Source organism: Homo sapiens, chromosome 3 (genome assembly GCF_000001405.40).
Source record: "Homo sapiens chromosome 3, GRCh38.p14 Primary Assembly".
NCBI lineage: Eukaryota > Metazoa > Chordata > Mammalia > Primates > Hominidae > Homo > Homo sapiens.
In genome coordinates, this window is record NC_000003.12 from 180,746,196 (window position 1) to 180,765,601 (window position 19,406).

General features: G+C 37.2%; 1 long non-coding RNA gene across 1 annotated transcript in view; it reads right to left on the minus strand.

The window, feature by feature from the left end:
- LOC101928882 (uncharacterized) overlaps positions 1 to 19,406 on the minus strand; it is a 162,590-nt gene that overhangs the window by 38,607 nt on the left and 104,577 nt on the right. The window contains exons 5-7 of the long non-coding RNA NR_109986.1: positions 5,153 to 5,215; positions 2,051 to 2,124; positions 1,685 to 1,848 (exon numbers count right to left, since the gene is read on the minus strand). This is a non-coding gene — a long non-coding RNA (uncharacterized LOC101928882). The remainder of the gene's footprint in view (positions 1 to 1,684; positions 1,849 to 2,050; positions 2,125 to 5,152; positions 5,216 to 19,406) is intronic.

The window sequence follows — 19,406 nt, forward strand, 5'->3', positions numbered from 1 at the left end:
GCACTTTCTTCCTCAGTGTATTTCCAGAGCCTCACATCCTTTATGGAAATAAGATAAATGAATGATTGAACACAAAAGATAAATAAATGAATGACTGAGGAAAGCAATTTTTACAAATCACATTTTCTTTAGTACTTTTTCAGTGAAATTTATGAAACATGGGCTGTTCTTCCTACCGTAATATTGTAAGATGCATATTAATATAGGAAGAAAATCATAGTATACAGCATTTTAAAACAAGTGGTTTACATGTGATGCCAAAACCAAAATAAGAACAGGAACATGATTCCTGAGATCTAGAAACTGTACCAAATACATGGGTTTTAGATTAACCATTTATTTATCCCTTTACGTACTTTTTCATTAATTCCATTTTTAGATGAATTTTATTAGTTTAATTCCATTCTTAAACTTTTCATGCTACAGTTTCCACACAACCAACACTTTATACATGACTTTTCCTAAGACGATAATAATTCCTATCCCAGTTCCTGTTTGGCATCTTTTTTCCTATTTCAGTTCCCTGTTCCTAATTTTCTGCATCTTGTCAAAAGTGCCACAATGGCACAGATAGGCATTCAAAGCCTTTTCTGGTACAAAGCAGGAGATGTACAGAGCAACAAATAGAGGCAGTCACAATGGGATGTTTCTATACTGGTTGTTCATGCGTGTGGTTCTTTGACTGCACTGCAGGTAACTAGAGATCATTTCATTTGATAACAATACAAGAAAATGATTAAACCAAAGTTTGTGTTCCCTGGTTCCACATGAGCCATTGTTGCTCTTATTAGCCATCTCAGGAGAGGGTTCTGAGTTTGAATGGTTTCTCAGCCAAGTGTCATTAGAAAGGCATTTGTAGTCAGCAGCCTTCACTGGACCTATGGAGTGCTCCTTTTCCAGGCCCTTCAGGGTAGTGCATAAATAACACAAGAGACACGTTTCTTACTTTTAAAAAATCTGAACTAAGGATCTTTGTTGGTGATTTTAAAAAGAATCTACTGGTTGAGTGCTGTGGCTCACTCCTATAATCCCAGCACTTTGGGAGGCCAAGGCGGGCAGATCAAAAGGTCAAGAGATAGAGACCATCCTGCCAACTTGGCAAAACCTCATCTCTACTAAAAATACAAAAATTAGCTGGGTGTGGTGGCACATGCCTGTAGTCCCAGCTACTCGGGAGGCTGAGGCAGGAGAATCACTTGAACCTAGGAGGCAGAGGTTGCAGTGAGCAGAGATCATACCACTGCACTCCAGCCTGGTGACAGAGCAAGACTCTGTCTCAAAACGAACCTACCACTTACTACACATAATATTAAAGTCTCTTTCTTATGACTGAGGCCTTTGAAAGCTGTGAAGTAACAATAACTGTTGTCATTCTACAAACATTCTACAAATACTTATTGAGGGTCTACTGGGCGCCAGGAACTGTTCTAGGTGCTGGGGATATAGCAGTGAATAAAACAAAGTTCTTCCCTCATTGAGCCTATAAAACATAGAAACAAGTAGCAATAATAACTTTAACATTGTTTTAAAGAAGGATTAAGAGGCCTTTAAAACACAATATACGGAGGAACATTACGTGGCTTATTGAGCATGCCACACCCATTGTCACTTCTTTATGAAGAAGTCCAATTTAGATGCAAAAATCATTACAAAGTGTGGCTTTGTTTTCATCACTGCTGCTCACCTCAACTCACCTGGGAGACAGGGACAATGACTGAATGAACTGTGAAGAGGGTGGAAGACCAATTGTCCTTGTGTTAGGCAGCAACAGGTTGAAAGGAAGAAGCACTCATTGCCCAAATCACCCCACTCCTGTGTGCCATTAACTCTCTCCTCAGGGATTGAAGGCTGGTTGGGAAAGACAGATCTGGGTAAAGGGTCAAATGGGAACTAGGCAAAAGTCAGAACTGAACTATGTATTTTTTATAAGGCCCAGCAAGTTTCCCTGAGGTCAAACAATTTGGCAGAGTTCCAGAATCCCTTCTGTGTTTCTGTTTGTTCCAGGCTGTGGGACTGAAGCACTCCCTGCCAGTCCTCCTCTGCAACTCACCTTTGACGATACAGAATGGCTGCTAGGAAAATTCATCCTAAAGTTTTCTGTGCTGTGTTCTTTCCAACTACCTGCTTCCAAAGGAGAAATATCTGTTAGTTCCCAAGCACAAGTACCACTTAAGACCCTGAAGCCCATTTGGATGTGATTATTTTCCAGTTATTAGCTTAATCAGAAAAACTGTGAACACAAATAACTGCTCTGTGTATCCTCAGAGAACAAAAGGACATAAGCATTAAATTGTGGCATAAGTAACTTGTTTTAGAGATATTTTTAAAATGTAATTATTACGATGCCTGGCTACAGTGGACTGTGGGGAGGGGTTGAACTCAGTAAACACTGTGACAAGGACTGCATCTCTCAACTTGAACCCCAGATTGTTTGATGAGACACAAAGCCAACAGGCTAGGATGAAAAACTTTCTGAACAAATTATTTCTTTTATTTTTTTAATTTCCCTTTTATTTACTAGTCTCTCAAGGAGTGGAGGAAGTAAGGAAAGGAAATGACAAAGATAATATCCAGGCAAGTACGAGAGTTTTCCTGTACTAACTATACTCTAGGCAAAACTTTGTCACCAATGAAACTATTGGCAAGTCTCAAGGAAAAGATATTAATGTGGCTTTCCAAGACCAACCTGCTAGGGTACCTACTGGGCAGGGAGAGGGAAGGAGGTTTAAGTGTGTGGAATTACTGTTAAAGGAATGGAAGCCAAAAGTGCTTCAGCCACCCTTGCATCAGTTACACTATCTTATACATGTATAATACGATACCACTTTGGACCACAAAAATATTAACTGTATACATATAAGCAGATAGAGTTAAGGATGTGTGTGTGTGTATATAATATACAGTTATATATAGAAATATGTGTAGGTTTGTGTGTGTATGCATGTGTAAAACCCTATATATAGGATTAAAGATATAGATATAAATATAGATACACAGTACAGATCTAGCTGTGCACATTGACCTAGTGGTGGGGAGGGGAGCAAATATGGAAGACTTCCTAGGGTTTTTATTTTAACATTTTGGCTTGTATTATTAGCCTACAATGTCTATGCTTTACTTTTTCTTCTTTAAGAGCAGAAGGAGGGTGGTTTGTCTCTCAGACCACACTGAAGAATCGGAGAGCATCCTGTGTACCAAGCTCTTGGCAGCAGCAGACTTGTGAAAAGTACCCCACTAGCTCAGTTTCCTACGCTCTGGGAAAAGCTCTCAGGAGGCAATCCCTTCCTCCTATATACCCCACCCCTTTCCCCGCTTCTGTAGGCCTAACCCAGAGTTAGAATCTGGGGACAGACCTGGCTGGAGCCTGGAACAGGGACCCCACTGCTTCCACTGTGCAGAACAAAAAGGGCACTGCAGGGACACTCAGTGATGCTAGAGGAATTGACCTAACCCACCAAAAGCTGCCCTGACCTTCTCTTAACAAACAGCCTGGAGTGAGCAATATCCCTGTCTTCAAAACAACTTTTAAAATGCTTGCATAACAGAAAGAAGGCAAGTGTGCCTAGAATAAAAACCAGCTAAGGGAGAAATTACATAGCACTGGCTTAAACAGTGTGTGAACTGGTTGCAGGAAGAGAACTCCAATATATTTCTTATATATTTCACACACATTAAAAGGAGGGCTGAAAGGACATTACACAGATTATAAATTCCACTTGTCATTGGTATATATAAGTGAGAAATAAATAGTTGTGTCAGCATTTTTGTTTCAATCCTTTGATCTCTAATTCTCACAAGCCTCTGTTTAGCAGCTAAGAGAGCTGTTAAGAGAAAGTAAAAGCAACTTTTTCAAGTCACATACAGTTCAGCTAGTTTAAAACTAAAGTCTGTCAAACACAAATCCCATACACATTCTCCTCAACACACAATTTCTCCAAAAGGAAGCTACTGCTTTATGTAAATAAAGTGAAAATTATGATGATGATGCAATTAAATGTAATTTTGGCTATTATTTATAGCTAAACAGAGTAACTTCCAGAGTAGCTGAAGTTTTGTCCTCTATGGCAGAGATACAGAGCAGAACTGAAGCCAGACTCTGCATGGAGACTGGGGAAAAGTAATGTTCAGCAACCTCACCAACTGTAAGGTAGAAAATAAAGCAAATTATTTTGTTAAAAAAACCCCACAAAATTATCTATATCCCCACATTCAGAAATAAGTACTCTTTACATTTTGATTTATTTCCTTCTAGCTTTTTAAAATGTGAATGTTTTCTTTGTTTGCCATTAGGCTCTTACTATATTAACTGATTTTTGTGTTTGCTTTAAAAATTTTAAAGATAATACAGGCAAAAACAGTGAAAAACTAAATGTCTTTCAACAAATGATGGTACTCATAAGGAATCTAAGTAGCTATTAAAAATAATAAAACAGATCTGTATGAAGTGACTTGTAAAGTTGTCTAGGATATGTAGTGAAGTGGAAAAAGCAAAATGCTGAACAATATGGAGTGTATGATCCCAATAAAGCAAAAAGAAACTATGTGGCTATGTGCATGCATGTATATGTGTACATGTATTATCCTCTCCCCATATATGTTTGTGTGGTCATAGAAAAAAAGACTAGAACAGTGGTTGTCTCTGTTATAGTAAGTATATGTGCTATGAACTGAATGTATGTGCCCACCATAAAATTCATTTGTTGAGACCCTAACCCCAGTGTGGTCATATTTGGAGTAAGAAAATGATTAAGTTTAAATGACATCATAAGTGTGGGGTCCGGATTTGATAGGATTAGTGACCTCATAAGAAGAGAGACCAGAGAACTCGCCCTCTCCCTCTCTCCTTGTGCATATACCAAGGAAGTGTTCTGTGAAAACACACAGAAGAGGCAGCTGTTGACAAGTCAGGAAGAAAGCCCTCATCAGAAATTGAACCTTGCCAGAACCTTGATCTTGGACTGTCTAGCTTCCAGACCTGAGAGAAAATAAATTTCTGTTGTTTAAGCCACCCAGTCTGCAGAATTTTGTTAAACAGCTCAAACAGACTAAGACAATGTATTTCCTTTGAAATACAAAAATAAAGAACAACTATTTTTTTAAAAACAATCCTTGTGCATTGTAGACATTTTGGGAAAAAAATGAAAAATCTTACCCTAAATTTCACTCTTCTAGGATCAGCCACTGTTAACAGGTACAGAACCTTCTAGTCTTTCCTCTGTGTATACAAACATATGTATATATTTTTTACCACCATGAGACCATACAGTTCATACCATTTCAACATTTGCTATAAGAAAAAAAAAATTATCACAACTTTCCATTCTTTTAATATTCTTGTCTAACATTATTTTTATATGTTCTATATACAGAGAAGCATATAGAATGGTGCTTTGACTTGAATGTGTCTCCAAAACAGTATGTGTTGGAAATTTAATCCCCAAGTGCAACACCATTGAGAGGTGAGGCCTAATGGAAACTATTTAGGTCATGAGAGCTCCACACTCATGAATGGATTAATGTCAATTATAAAATAGCTTGAGGCTGCAGGTTCAATCTCTTGCTCTTTCTCATCCTCTTTTCGCCCTTCCACCATGGGATGATGCAGCAAGAAGGCCCTTGCTAAATGCAGGCCCTTCAATCATGGACCTCCCAGAACCATGAGCCACTAAATTTCTGTTCATTATGGATTACTCAGTCTCAGGTATTCTGTTATAGCAACACAAAATGGACTAAGACAGATGGATATATTATAGCTTATTTTAAATAGAAAGAAGAGACTATTATTTTGCTGGTCACAAGAGTTCTATTTCCCACCCTCCTGCAACTTTTCTAGACCTTACCCTGATCTCCCTCCAAGTGACCAGTGATGAGCTATAGGACCATGTCATAAGCAGCCACCAAAAGAAAATCATTCACTCTATGAATCTTCTTGATAATATGCTAGTGGTTGCAGATCTCTTTCATAGAATATCCTTCTATATATTTGTCAAATAAAAACAAATCTGGACTTAGTAAGAAGAGATTTTATTCAAAAAGATTATTGTAAGGGAAGATTATTGTAAGGAAACTATTGCAATGGGGGAGGAGGACTATTGTAACAGGAAGAATGCTCTGACCATGAGATCTGCAAGCATCTCAAAAGTTAGGCAAAAAAAAAAAAAAGAAAAAGAAAAAGATTTTTTTCTTTTTCAGAGAGGAATAAATAAAGCTAGGAAGAGCCAGGTGTGAGAAAGTAGAATAAAAGATGGTGCGATCAGATAGTATATGAGAGAATGTCTGACCTCGAGACCAGCTTATTCTAAACCGGCATTGTATGCTAGCCCAGGCTGAGGGTGGGCCAAAGTTCAGGGTCCTGGAGGAAGGAAAGAAGCTTAACCAAAGTTTGAATACCAAGACTTTTGTTCCAATTGATCAATGGGACAAGCAGTTTAGCTAATCATTTATGAGGCTAAAAAAAGAAATTTTGAGGATCTATGTCGGGCCTTGTTATAGGTAAACAAAGGAGGCATCTGTAAGTCTTTCTATATTATTATTATTTTTTTATTTTATTTTATTTTTTTTTTGAGACAGAGTCTTGCTCCGTTGCCCAGGCTGGAGTGCAGTGGTGCGATCTTGGCTCACTGCAAGCTCCACTTCCCAGGTTCACGCCATTCTCCTGCCTCAGCCTCCGGAGTAGCTGGGACTACAGGCACCTGCCACCACGCCCGGCTAATTTTTTCTATTTTTAGTAGAGACGGGGTTTCACTGAGTTAACCAGGATGGTCTCCATCTCCTGACCTCATGATCCGCCCTCCTCGGCTTCTCAAAGTGCTGGGATTACAGGCATGAGCCATCGCGCCCAGCCTATTATTATTATTATTTTAAACAGAGTCTCGCTCTGTCACTCAGGCTGGAGTGCCGTGGCACAATCTCAGCTTACTGCAACCTCCACCTCCCTGGTTCAAGCAATTCTCGTGCCTCAGCCTCCCATGTAGCTGGGATTACAGGCACACACCACCACGCCCAGCTCACTTTTGTATTTTTAGTAGAGACGGGGTTTCATCCTGTTGGCCAGGCTGGTCTCGAACTCCTGACCTCAAATGACCCACCCACCTCAGCCTCCCAAAGTGCTGGGATTACAGGCGTGAGCCACCATGCCTGGCCTCTGTAAGTCTTATTAAGTCATTTTCCAGAACACAAAGAGTGGGGGGATTTCTTACCCTTTACTGTTTTTCTGGCTCAGGTGAAATTAAACATTGTGAAATTTTGCAAATAAGGTTAAAGTCAGTTACTGGGTACCCTCAGTATTGTGTTGGGCATATTCCATAAATATTTTATAACAATCCCATAAAGTACATGCTATTGTAAGTCCTTATTTTCATAAATAGAAACTAGCTCAAGGAGGTAACATTCTCAATATTACAAGACTAGTAAGTGAACACAGAATTTACTCAAACTCAATTCTTTGTAATTCACTCAGTTCTCAACACTGTACTGCTTTCATCAAAGTTACATGGAAAATATGTGTAACTGGAAAGTTGGTAGGTTCCTTGGAATGTAAACAATCGAATTATCTTGGAGTTTATATAGTCTAAGTGGAAGGTGACTTGGAGAAATGAAACTTATGTGATAGAAAAAAAATACAGATTTACACATCAAACTATCTGGCTCTGAGTCCTAGCTGCATCATTTCCTGAGGAAGAAATTTTGGGTGAGTTACTTAATTTAGTTGAGTCTCAGGTTCCCTACCTTTGTGGGGAAGAGGTTATAACAATATCTGCCTCACAGGAGCGTTTCAAGGTTTCTCTAATTTGTTCAGGTATATTACCTGCTTTGCAAATTACAAAACACCAGTAAAAAATTAGTGAGTTAACCTTTATTTTCCTTCCTAATTATTGACCAACCAAACTTCAGAGGGTGCTATTAACAAGATTAAAGCTCATCAAAGTTAGCTAGAATGTTCTATAGAGTTGTTGACATGTTAAGTTGAAGCTGTTATTTACTTCTACAGATGAATATGTAGAACATTTCTAACAGGAGAATGATCCAGGGCTAATAATTTAAACCTGACAGGGTCACCTGAGATTGCAGTGCTTCATATGCAGAAGATGCGTGAAACAATTGGATAAAAAGAAACAGGGAAGCTTACAGAACACTTGACCAGTAACACTGTGTATAAAAGCTAGGAGTGCTTTACTGAGATAGTGAAAAGATATGCCTCTAGTCATAATATAGCAATGCACTCAACCCTCATTACACAGTGCTGCCTACAAATGTTGTTAGAGTTTATTCTAACTCTGTTTCCATTATAATAAAGCCCCACTTTTGAGGATTTGTAATTCAGCCAAAATAATTTGCTACAGGAATGTTTCAAAAGACCTTTTTATAACCCTTTGAATAAACCCCAACATTAGAAATTCTAAACAATAAAGACCCTGCCACTTCTAAAGCAGTTGTTGTTGGATGAGTGTTAAATTTTTGGTCACGTGGGCTTTATTTCTATTACATGAAGTTCTTCTAGATCACATCTTACTCTAGTTAATAGGCACTAAGAGGAAATGGAGGGCTTCAAAACAGATTTCTTTGGTACACTTTTTATTAAGGGAATGAACAAAAAAGGCATTTGAATATAAAGAAAAAAAGTTAAGCATGTTTGCTAGGAAGTCAATCTAGCCCTGAAAATTTAGATTTACAAAATATGAAATTTTTACTTTGCCTAAACCATATAATAAAAGCCATGTGCCTAGGGAAGTTCATTAAATGTTTTAAGGTACTAAGCGAATGATGGGAAATACTGTAATAGAAAGATCACTTAATCCAGGATTTTCAAACTTCGTTCCTAGGAACATCAGATGTTAACAGTTGGCCCACGCCCAAACAAAACAAACTAAAAAAAATAAACAGGCCAGGTGCAGCAGTTCACTTCTATAATCCCAGCACTTTGGAAGGCCAAGTGGGCGGATCACTTGAGGTCAGGAGTTCGAGACCAGCCTAGCCAACATGGCGAAACCGTGTCTCTACTGAAAATAACAAAAATTGGCCAGCCAGGATGGCATGCACCTGTAAGCCTAGCTACTCAGGAGGCTGAGGCAAGAGAATCACCTGAACCCAGGAGGCGGAGATGGCAATGAGCTGAGATCATGCCACTGCACTCAAGCCTGGGTGACAGAGTGAGACCCTGTCTCAAAAAAATAAATTAATTAATAAACAATAAACAATAAAATGAATTCCATTCATTATATAAATTTGGCTGCAAAAAAATAAGCCCTCCTTGCAAAGACAGAGAGCAACAGCATATTGAAAAGTTAGAGAGCATCAGCATATTAAAAATCCTGAGAAATACATTTAAGCCTGTTTAATATGTTTAAGTCAGTATTTCCCACATTCATTTTTACTATATGGCTTTTTTTTTTTTTTGCAATCAACCACTGTTAACCAGCAAACATCAAGAATCAGTAATTTAATCTACAGAGTAGAGATTCTCTTTGACTGCTGAGAGATCATTCACTGCATCAGAATCCCCTGTTAACAATACAAATTCCAGAACCCCAACCCCAGACTCACTCACTCAGCCCGAGGAGTAAGAACCCATTCTGCATAGTGACACTCTCCGCATCCCTGGGATTATTATGCATATGAAGCATGGCAGCCTGTTATCCAATAGGATAGATAACCCAAGGGTGTAAAATTGGTGGGTGCTGTTTTCTGGGATAGAATGGACACATTTTTTAAAGACAAAAATATCTTTTACTAGGAATCATTCTGTAGAGGACATATAGACAAGTAAGTGTAACACAAAAGGTGCTCTGCAAAGTGACTTTACAGAAACACAGAAAGGCCTCTGGTTGAAAAATCTCTTGTCATCAGTCACGGCAGTCAGAATTTCAATATCAGAAATTCCATTGTTCTTGGAAGTATAAATTGAAATAACTTTTCTCAAAAGCTATTTTACATTAGATGTCAAGAGACTAAAAAATATAAAATGGCTTTAACTTAGTGATTCTACTTCTGGGAAAAAACACTTAAATTCAGAAAAAAACTTTTCATACAAAGAAGTTAATTGTAAACTTTTAATAGGGAACCTAAACCTCTGACAGTGTGTAAATAAATTAGTGTATATTCATATAATGTAGTATTAGGTATTTATACTAAAATTTATAATAGCACAAAAAACACATTGTAATGCTAATTTTAAAAGCAAAGATAGTGGTCATGTATAGGAATTAGGGAGAGGAGAAAAGGAGGCAAATTGCCTTTTACTTTTAACTTTTAAACTCTTAGGATTTTTTGTTACAAACAACATGCATCATTTTGACAATTTTTTTAAAAGTGAGATTAAAAACAGCCTTAAGAATATAAAAAAAAAATACACCAAAACTTAATAGTGCTTACATGTAAGGAATAAGATTTGGAATAATTTTAATATTTGTCTTCAATCTTATGTGTTTACCGAATTCTTTCTTATAAATGTGTACTCCTCATATAAACATAATCTGAGCATTATTCTTTTAAAATTCTACCAGTTTGAGATAGACACTCTTATACATTACAAATGGGACTAGAAATTGGCAGAACACTTTCTGAAGACATCTGACATGAAAGTAAATTCCTTTCACAAATAGAAAACAACATAAATCATAAACGTAAATCATAAACATAAAATAAATTTCATTTTTAAAAAATTACCAGGAAGTGTTCAGCAGAGAAGTAACCTTATCTAGGCCAGGCTTGGTGGCTCACGCCTATAATCCTAGCACTTTGGGAGGCTGAGGTGGGCAGATCACTTGAGGCCAGGAGTTCAAGACCAGCCTAGCCAATATGGCAAAACCCCATCTCTACTAAAAATACAAAAAAAAAAAAAAAAAAAAAAAAAAAAAAATTAGCCAGGCTTGGTGGCGCAGGCATATAATCCCACCTACCCGTCTCTACTAAAAATACAAAACAAAATTAGCCGGGCATGGTGGCGGGCGCCTGTAGTCCCAGCTACTCGGGATGCTGAGGCTGGAGAATGGCATGAACCCGGGAGGTGGAGCCTGCAGTGAGCCGGGATTGCGCCAGTGCACTCCAGCCTGGGAGACAGAGCAAGACTCCATCTCAAACAAACAAACAAAAAGTAATTAAAAAAAAGAAGTAACCTTATTTAGTGCATTGTGCAGTAATTTGCCCTCTAAAAGAACGAATACTGTTTGGAATCTCTTTCAGAAAACTGTAAATGGAAAATTGGATGCAATTCCTAAAACTTAAGAGCCTAGAGGAGGGACCATGAGAACTGGGTCTTGTACCTGTGAGGAGAACGCACAGGACAATAGATGCTGTTATCTCTGAGAGTCTGCATTAGTGCTGATTCCAGAAAAGCTGCAAACTAGGGCTGGTGCGGCGGCTCACGCTTGCAATCCCAGCACTTTGGGAGGCCAAGGCGGGTGGATCACTTGAGCTCAGGAAGTTCGAGACCAGCCTTGCCAAAATGGTGAAACCCCGTCTCTTCCAAAAACACAAAAAATTAGCCGGGTATGGTGGTGGCTACCTGTAAACTCAGCTACTCAGGAGGCTGAGGCAGGAGAATTGCTTGAACCCGGGAGGTGGAGGTTACAGTAAGCCGAGATTGTGCCACTGCACTCCAGCCTGGGTGACAGAGTGAGAGGAAGAAAGAAAAGAAAGAAAGAAAGAGGAAGGAAGGAAGGAAGGAAGGAAAGAAAGAAAGAGAAGGGGAAGGGGAAGGAAAGAAAGAAGAAAGAAAGGAAAGGAAGAGAAACAAAGAAAGAGAGAGAGAGGGAAGGAAGGAAGGAAAGAAAGAAAGAGAAGGGGAAGGGGAAGGAAAGAAAGAAGAAAGAAAGGAAAGGAAGAGAAACAAAGAAAGAGAGAGAGAGGGAAGGAAGGAAGGAAAGAGGGAAGGAAGGAAGGAAGGAAGGAACTACAACCAACAGCCTTTTTTTTTTTTTTTTTAGTTTTTTTTCACTTGCTGCTGAAACCAACTGACAGGAATAGGAAGCAAATGCAGAACAGGAAGCAATCCAAGAAAGGTCAAGTCCCATCTTCCTCTTCCAGTTTTCCTATCTCCCACTAGCACTGCCTACTGGCAGAGCCTAACAGGAAAGCATTTGAGCAGAAATGTAACTGCAGAGTCTTCAGCCTAGTATCACAAAGCAAAGAAGGGAGGGTTTGGAGCTGAATGACAATCGCTTAATAATCAGGACACACAACATGTTATATAAAACAGGCAACTTGAAAATGATTCAAAAACCCAACTATGTCACCCTTTTTGTCTTAGGAGTCCAACAATGGAGAAATATTTCCCTAGCTTTCTATAGTCTTTCCTGTATTTAACACACAATGAAACAATAGGACAGTTTCCAAAAAATACTTGAGGTCTTGTCTTAACCATTTGTTAAAAAGTAAAAAGAGGTAAAATTAATTTTAATAATATTTATCATTTAACCCAATATATAAAAAATATTGCAATTTTGATATATGATCAATATAAAAAATGAGATATTTTACATTTTTTCCTTGCACTAAATTTTTGAATTCAGTGTATTTTACACTTATACCACATCTAATTTTTTCTAGCCATATTTCCAGTTCTCAATGTCACATGTAGCTAGTGACTAACTTACTAGACAACATAGTACTAAAGGATGAGTTTCATCCAACCAAGAGATAACTGAGAAAATATCAGCAAAAAAATGAGTGTATATGTGTGTGTGTGTGTGTGTATATATATATATGTATAATTATGGAGTATTACAAACAAAATGAGGACAAAGGAGGAATAATGTACAAATACTATATATTGTGAAAATAATTATTATACAAATGGGAGAAAAAGAGAGGGAAAGAGAAAAAATTTCTATGCAGCAGGGTCTTTTGATCTCAGCAGTTTTAACATTTTGTGTCAGATAATTCTTTGTTTTGAGAGCTGTCCTGTGTATTATAAGATATTTAGGAGCATCTCCAACCTCTACCCACTAGATGCCAGTAATATCCCCTCAGTGTGACTATCAAAAATGTCTCCATTGCCAAATGCTTCCTATGGGGCAAAATCACCCCAATTGAGAATCACTGTTGTATAGGTAATAGGTAGAAGAGTTAAAGGAGACTATTAAAACCTAATAAATCAGATAGTAAAAGATTACATGAGGAAATAGAGGTGAATAGGTATTATAAAAGATAGTACAAAGTACAAAGGTAATCACCACAACAAAAATAAATATCTTTGTAAATACTGAAAGTAAATATAAAGGAGCAAAGAACACACACCTCATAGAGAAACAAAGCAAACATTATACAACACAAATAATTATGTATATATTATATCAAAATCGAGAGCAAACATATCAGTCACATCAATACATGTAAATAGGCTGAACTCCCCTACTAAAAGAAAAATATTTTCAATTTGGCTCACAAAGCAATACCCAGCAATGTGCTGTATATAAAAGTCACATTAAGACAAAGTGATTCAGAACTAATAAAAGGATGGATAAATGTACCAGGCAAATGGAAACAGTAAGAAAGCTATAGTAGCAACTCTGATATCAGAACTCAAGCCGAGAAAGCAGTATACGTAACAAAGAAGAGAATGTTTACATGCTAAAAGCTAAAATTCACAAGAATATTTATTATAAATTTCTTATAATTTGTATTTCTTATAACCAAATAATATAGCAATCACCTTTATAAAGCAAAAGCTATAGAGATGCAATGAGACAGAGATTAAAACACTAATAATAGAAGACTAACACACTATTATCAACATAAGTCACATCAAGTACTGTCCTATCAGTAAGGATATAGAAGACCTAAACAACACAGTCAGTAAGTTTGTTCTGATGGCTATATATCAAAATTTGTGCACTGATTAGAGAGAATAGCACTTTTTCTCAAGTGCTTACTAAACACTATAAAATTAATTAAATATTAAGCTGCAAACAAAACATCAGTAGCTTCCATAAAGTGGAGATATTAAAGCAATAATCTATGATCACAAAATCAAATTAGAAATTACTAATAAGGTAAAAAAAGGAAGATCCTTCCACCTAGAACTTTAAAAAGAAACACCTATTTAGCAACTCTTGGGTAAAAGAGAAAATATAATCCAAAATTACAGAATGTTTAAAAAATAATAAAAATGAAAACACTTCATAGCATAATTTGTTTGAACACATTTACAGTAGTAACCAGAGGAAATCATACCACTAAACACTTAACCAATAAAAATAGAAGAATGGAAATAAGTAAGTTATATTTCCAACTCACAAATGAGGTAGAAGAAGCAACAAAATAAACCAAAAGAATTTATAAACAGGAAAATCAGGAAGATATGCAAAAATTTGTAGGTGGAGAATAGAAAAACAGTAGAACTAATTAATATATCCAAATCCTGCCTCTTGGGAAAAAATGAACAAATTGCTAGTTCTCATGGTAGAGAAAAATCATATATAAATATACAGAATAAGAAATTACAATGAGGGTCCAGGCGCAGTGGCTCATGCCTGTAATCCCAGCACTTTGGCAGGCTGAGGCAGGTGGATCACTTGAGGTCAGGAGTTCGAGACCAGCCTGGCCAATATGGTGAAACCCTGTCTCTACTAAAAATACAAAAATTAGTCGAGCATGGTGATGGGTGTCTGTAATCCCAGCTACTCAGGAGACTGAGACAGGAGAATTGCTTGAACCTGGGAAGTGGAGGTTGCAGTGAGCTGGGATCATGCCACTGCACTCCAGCCTAGGTGACAGAGTGAGACTCCATCTCAAAAAAAAAAAAAAAATTACAAGGAGGAAATAACCATTCAAATAAAAAAAAATTAACTCGTAAGATGTTAATTTGTGGCCCTCTATGCAAATAAATTTAAAAGCCTAGAAAGGAATGATAATTTCTAGAGCAATATAACCAAAACTGATCCCATTAGAGAGTAAAAGCTTGAATAGAATGATTTCTTTAAACAAAATAATGTTATCAAGGAATTATCCCACCAAAAGCACTGGGCTAAGACAGTTTCACAGGGAATTTTTACCAAACCTTTAAAGAACAGAGACTACTAGTGCTCCATATATTGTTCCAGAGTAGGGGTCCCCAACCTTCAGGCCATGGACCAGTGCTGACCCATGACCTGTTAGGAACTGGGCCACACAGCAGAAGGTGAATGAGCATTACCGACTGAGCTTTGCCTTCTGTCAGATCATCAGCAGCATTCACTTCCCATAAGAGTGCAAACCCTATTGTGAACTCCACATGTGAGGGAACTAGGTTGTTCTCCTCATGAGAATCTAATGCCTGATGATCTGAGGTGGAACAGGTTCATCCGGAAACCATCTCCCCCAACCCCCAATCCCTTGTGTGGAAAAATTGTCTTCCACGAAATTGGTCCCTGGTGCCAAAACATTTGGGGACTACCGTTCCAGAGCATTGAAAATGAGCAAACCGACTTACTTCTTTTAAAGAAGGAAGTAGAACATTGATAATTATATCTAAAAGTACAAACAAATGAAAACTAAAGACCAGTGAATATCCATGCAAAAGTGCTAGGTAAAATGTTGGCCAGCAGTGTCCAAACCTAAGGAAGAAAATAACACACCATGATCAAGTAAGATTTACCCCAGAAATCCAAGGTGTATTCCACATTATTTAAATCCACTAATATAATAAACTATCTTAATAGATCTGAGGGGAAAATGTGTTATTTTTATAAATGCTGAAGAAAAACTTTGACAAATTCAACACTCATTTCTGGTAAGAAAGTTACTCAGAGAATAAAAATTGGTGGATATTTTCTTAACTACCTAAAATACATACACCTTAGCCTTAAAAAGTCTTAATGAGGAAACACTTGAGGCATTTTTCACTAAGATTCAGGAACAGGCAAGAAGGCCAAATATCTCCATTACTATTCAACTTTGTAGTAGAGGTATTAGTCAATGCACATAAATAAGAGGAATCAACCGAAGGCATGAGAATTGTTAAAGACAAGTAAAACTACCTCTATTAAGTAGATGATATGCTAGTGCACATAAAAACCCCCAGAAATTTGAAGGTAAAACTGGCCCCAATAATAAATGAATGAATAAGTCAGGACATAAAATTAACATTCAATAATCAATAGTCTTCATCTACACAAATAATAACCAGTTAGAGAAAATAATAGTAGACAAATTCCCAATAATGACACCAATGGAGAAAATTAAATATTTAGAAATAAACTTAAGAAATGTGCAAGACTTGTGAGGAAAGCTTTAAATCAATCCTGAAAGTCACAAAAATAGATGTAAATGAACAAAAAGGCATTTTCTCTTGTTGGATACTACAATGCAGCAGAATAAAGCTGTCAGTTCTCCCCAAAGTGAATTTATTAATTTGATGAAATCCCATTAAATATAGTCACAGCTTATTTATGAAGCTAGATAAGTTGACAAAAAGGTTCATAGGGATACTTTCAGTTTCAAATCTGACTTGTAAACAGCTTGGAGGTTGTCACACTGTGTTTACAAGAAAAAGCTGTACAAACTGAAAAATCAATTATTTTTCTTTAACCCATTAGAAAACTGAGATTATAAGGCAAATTGCTACCCCCAAATCTGGAGAAGCAAGCTCATCTAGAGAGACACATCTGAGATCCGCTTACTTGGAACAGAAGTCTCTGGGTCCATAAACTAGTAGGAACTTTCAAATGGTAGTTTTGATGAACTGCAGGACAGTAAGTTTGAACTCGAATTGGAATGAGAAACTCCTGGGGACAGTATCCTTGGGGTCTATAATTCTGTGAGCTTTCCTTTTAGGAACTTTATCAGGTTCTCAAAGAGAAGACTGAGAAAGACACGCTCATGCCTCTGACAGGCGGAAGGAAGAGTAATCATTGTGAAATACAGAAATATGCACAGAGCTTTCTTTGTAAGAAAGGTTTACTTGAAGGGAAGAAACATTGCCAGAGTCATGATGAAATCTTTCTTGATATAATCTGTAATAACCTGTGGGGTTCCTATCAGTAAATCATTCCTCCCACTCCAGTAGCCTCTAGCTTTTCTGACTCACCTAAAAGGGTTTAAAATAATGTTAAAACGTGTCAGGAATTAGAGGCAATAAATTGGGAATGTCATAGCTAAAGAAAGGAGCAGGGATGAAAGGAGAGAAACACAGGTGAAGGTCATAGCCCCAAAAGAGAGGACCACTAAAACACTGAGATTTAATTGGAATATTATAGAATGCTCCCATCCCTCCACACCTTACCACCATACCACCACACAAACAAGATTACAGTATAATTACCATTGGCTTATAGCTAAAGGAGCAGCAAGATACAGACTCTGAAATGTACTTAGGAAGTGCCAAAATCAAGAATGGAGAAAAAAAACAAGGGACATATTTGAAGCCTCTGATAACTATAGCTATAGGAAACATTAAACATAGCCCCACTCCTAGGCAGGTTAACATAAATCCTCACATTAAAGGCCAATTTACCTCAGTTCATATTATCTGATACAACATGTCCAGCTTTTAAGGCATGACAAGGCAAAGAAAGGCAAAAGGCAAGAAAATAATCAGTCTGAAGAGACAAAGCAAGCATAAGAACCAGACTCAGATACGACACAGATGTTGGAATTATCAGACAGGGAATTTAAAATAATTATGATTAATATGTTATGCACTCTTGGGAGACAACATTCAAGAAAAGATGGGTTGTTTAAGCAGAGGGATGGAAACTCTCAGACTCAAAGGGAAACATTAAAAGTAAAAAGCACTGTAACGGAAGTGAAGGGCATCTTGGATGGGCTCATCAGGAGACTGGACACAACCAAGGAAAGTCTCAGTGAGCTTGCAGATAGGTCAATAGAAACTTCCCAAATTTAAATGCAAAGAGAAAAGAGGAAAGGAAAAGTAGAAAAACAGAACATTCAAGAACTGTGGGACAGTTTAAAAAGGTGTAAAATACATGTAGTATAGGAATAAAAGGAAATTCTCAAACAAAATCATAATGATGGGGTTATGTCAACTGGACACAGGAGCCAACTGAAAGAGTCCTCAGGGGCCAAACTTGAAACAATTTCATTAACAAAATAAAGAAATATCAAATTATACCCCAAAATATAGAATAAATATCCATGAGTCTATCCTGATATAAATAAATAATTGAATAAATATATGGGGAAGAATAGATAAATCTTTAGGGTGAAATTTCAAATAATTTATGTAGATACTCGATCCTCATGGAAGAGGAGCATAACTCCCCAGTCTTTAAGTGTGGTCTATATATAGTGACTTCCTTATCAAGAGTAGCATGAAAAGGGTAACTTCACTGTGGAGAAACATGATAAAAACTCTCTCTGCCAAGTGTTCAAGGTTCACATCAACAGTGATGTCACGTTGACAATATATGGTAAGTATGTCACTTTCCATCTTTGGTTTTCCTCTCTCAAACCCAAAACCCAATATAATCATGAGGAAAACATCAAAGAAATCCCAATTGTGAGATCTTCTATAAAATGCCTGACCAAGAATTCTTAAAAACTGTCAAGGTCATCAAAAAAACAAGGAAACCCTGAAAAGCTACCACAGCCAAGTGGAGCCTAGGAAGATATGACAAATAAATATAATGTGGTATCCAGGATGGAATCCTAGGACAGAAAACAAACATTAGGTCAAAACCAAAGAAATATGAATAAAGTATGAACTTCAGTTAATAACAAGGTATTATTGTTATTGGTAGTTATTGGTTCAATTATCATGACAAACGTACTATACTATTTTAAGATGTTAATAATAAAGGAAAACTGTGTGGAGTATATCGGGAATTTTCTGCACTATTTTTGCAACTTTTTATATATCTAAAACTATTCTAAAATAAAAAGTTTATCTTTAAAAAGTTCATATGAAAAACAAATATGCAAAAATTGTCAGGAAAACACTAAAAGCAAATCTATGAGGGATACTAATCCTGTCTAGATTTAATCCTACATTAAAACATACTATAGACCATACATAGTGAAAGTAATGTGATACTGATGCATAGACTAACAGAAATTAAATAGAAAGCCCAGAAGTAGACATAAATATATGTAGAAATTAAATATATGATAAAAATGTCATCTCAAATCACTGAAACAAAGGTTTAATAAATAGTGCTGGTGTTATGGGTGGGTCTTTGGTCTTAGAGCTCCCAAGATGGTGATGGGCTGCTCCCAAGATAGTGGCAGCCACTCCCAAGATGGCAGCAAGCCTTTTGTTCTCTGACCTGGGGTTCTTGGCCTCACAGATTCCAAGGAATGGAACCTTGGGCCATGCAGTGAGTGTTATAGCTCTATTAGAAGCCATGGGTCATGGAAGAGAACCGTGGAACCCAGCGGCTAGTGTTCAGCTTGATTAGGACAAACCCGGGCACTTAGCTGCACAGGAACAATGACGAGCTTCTAGCCCAAACGGGAGGGGCAATGGGCAC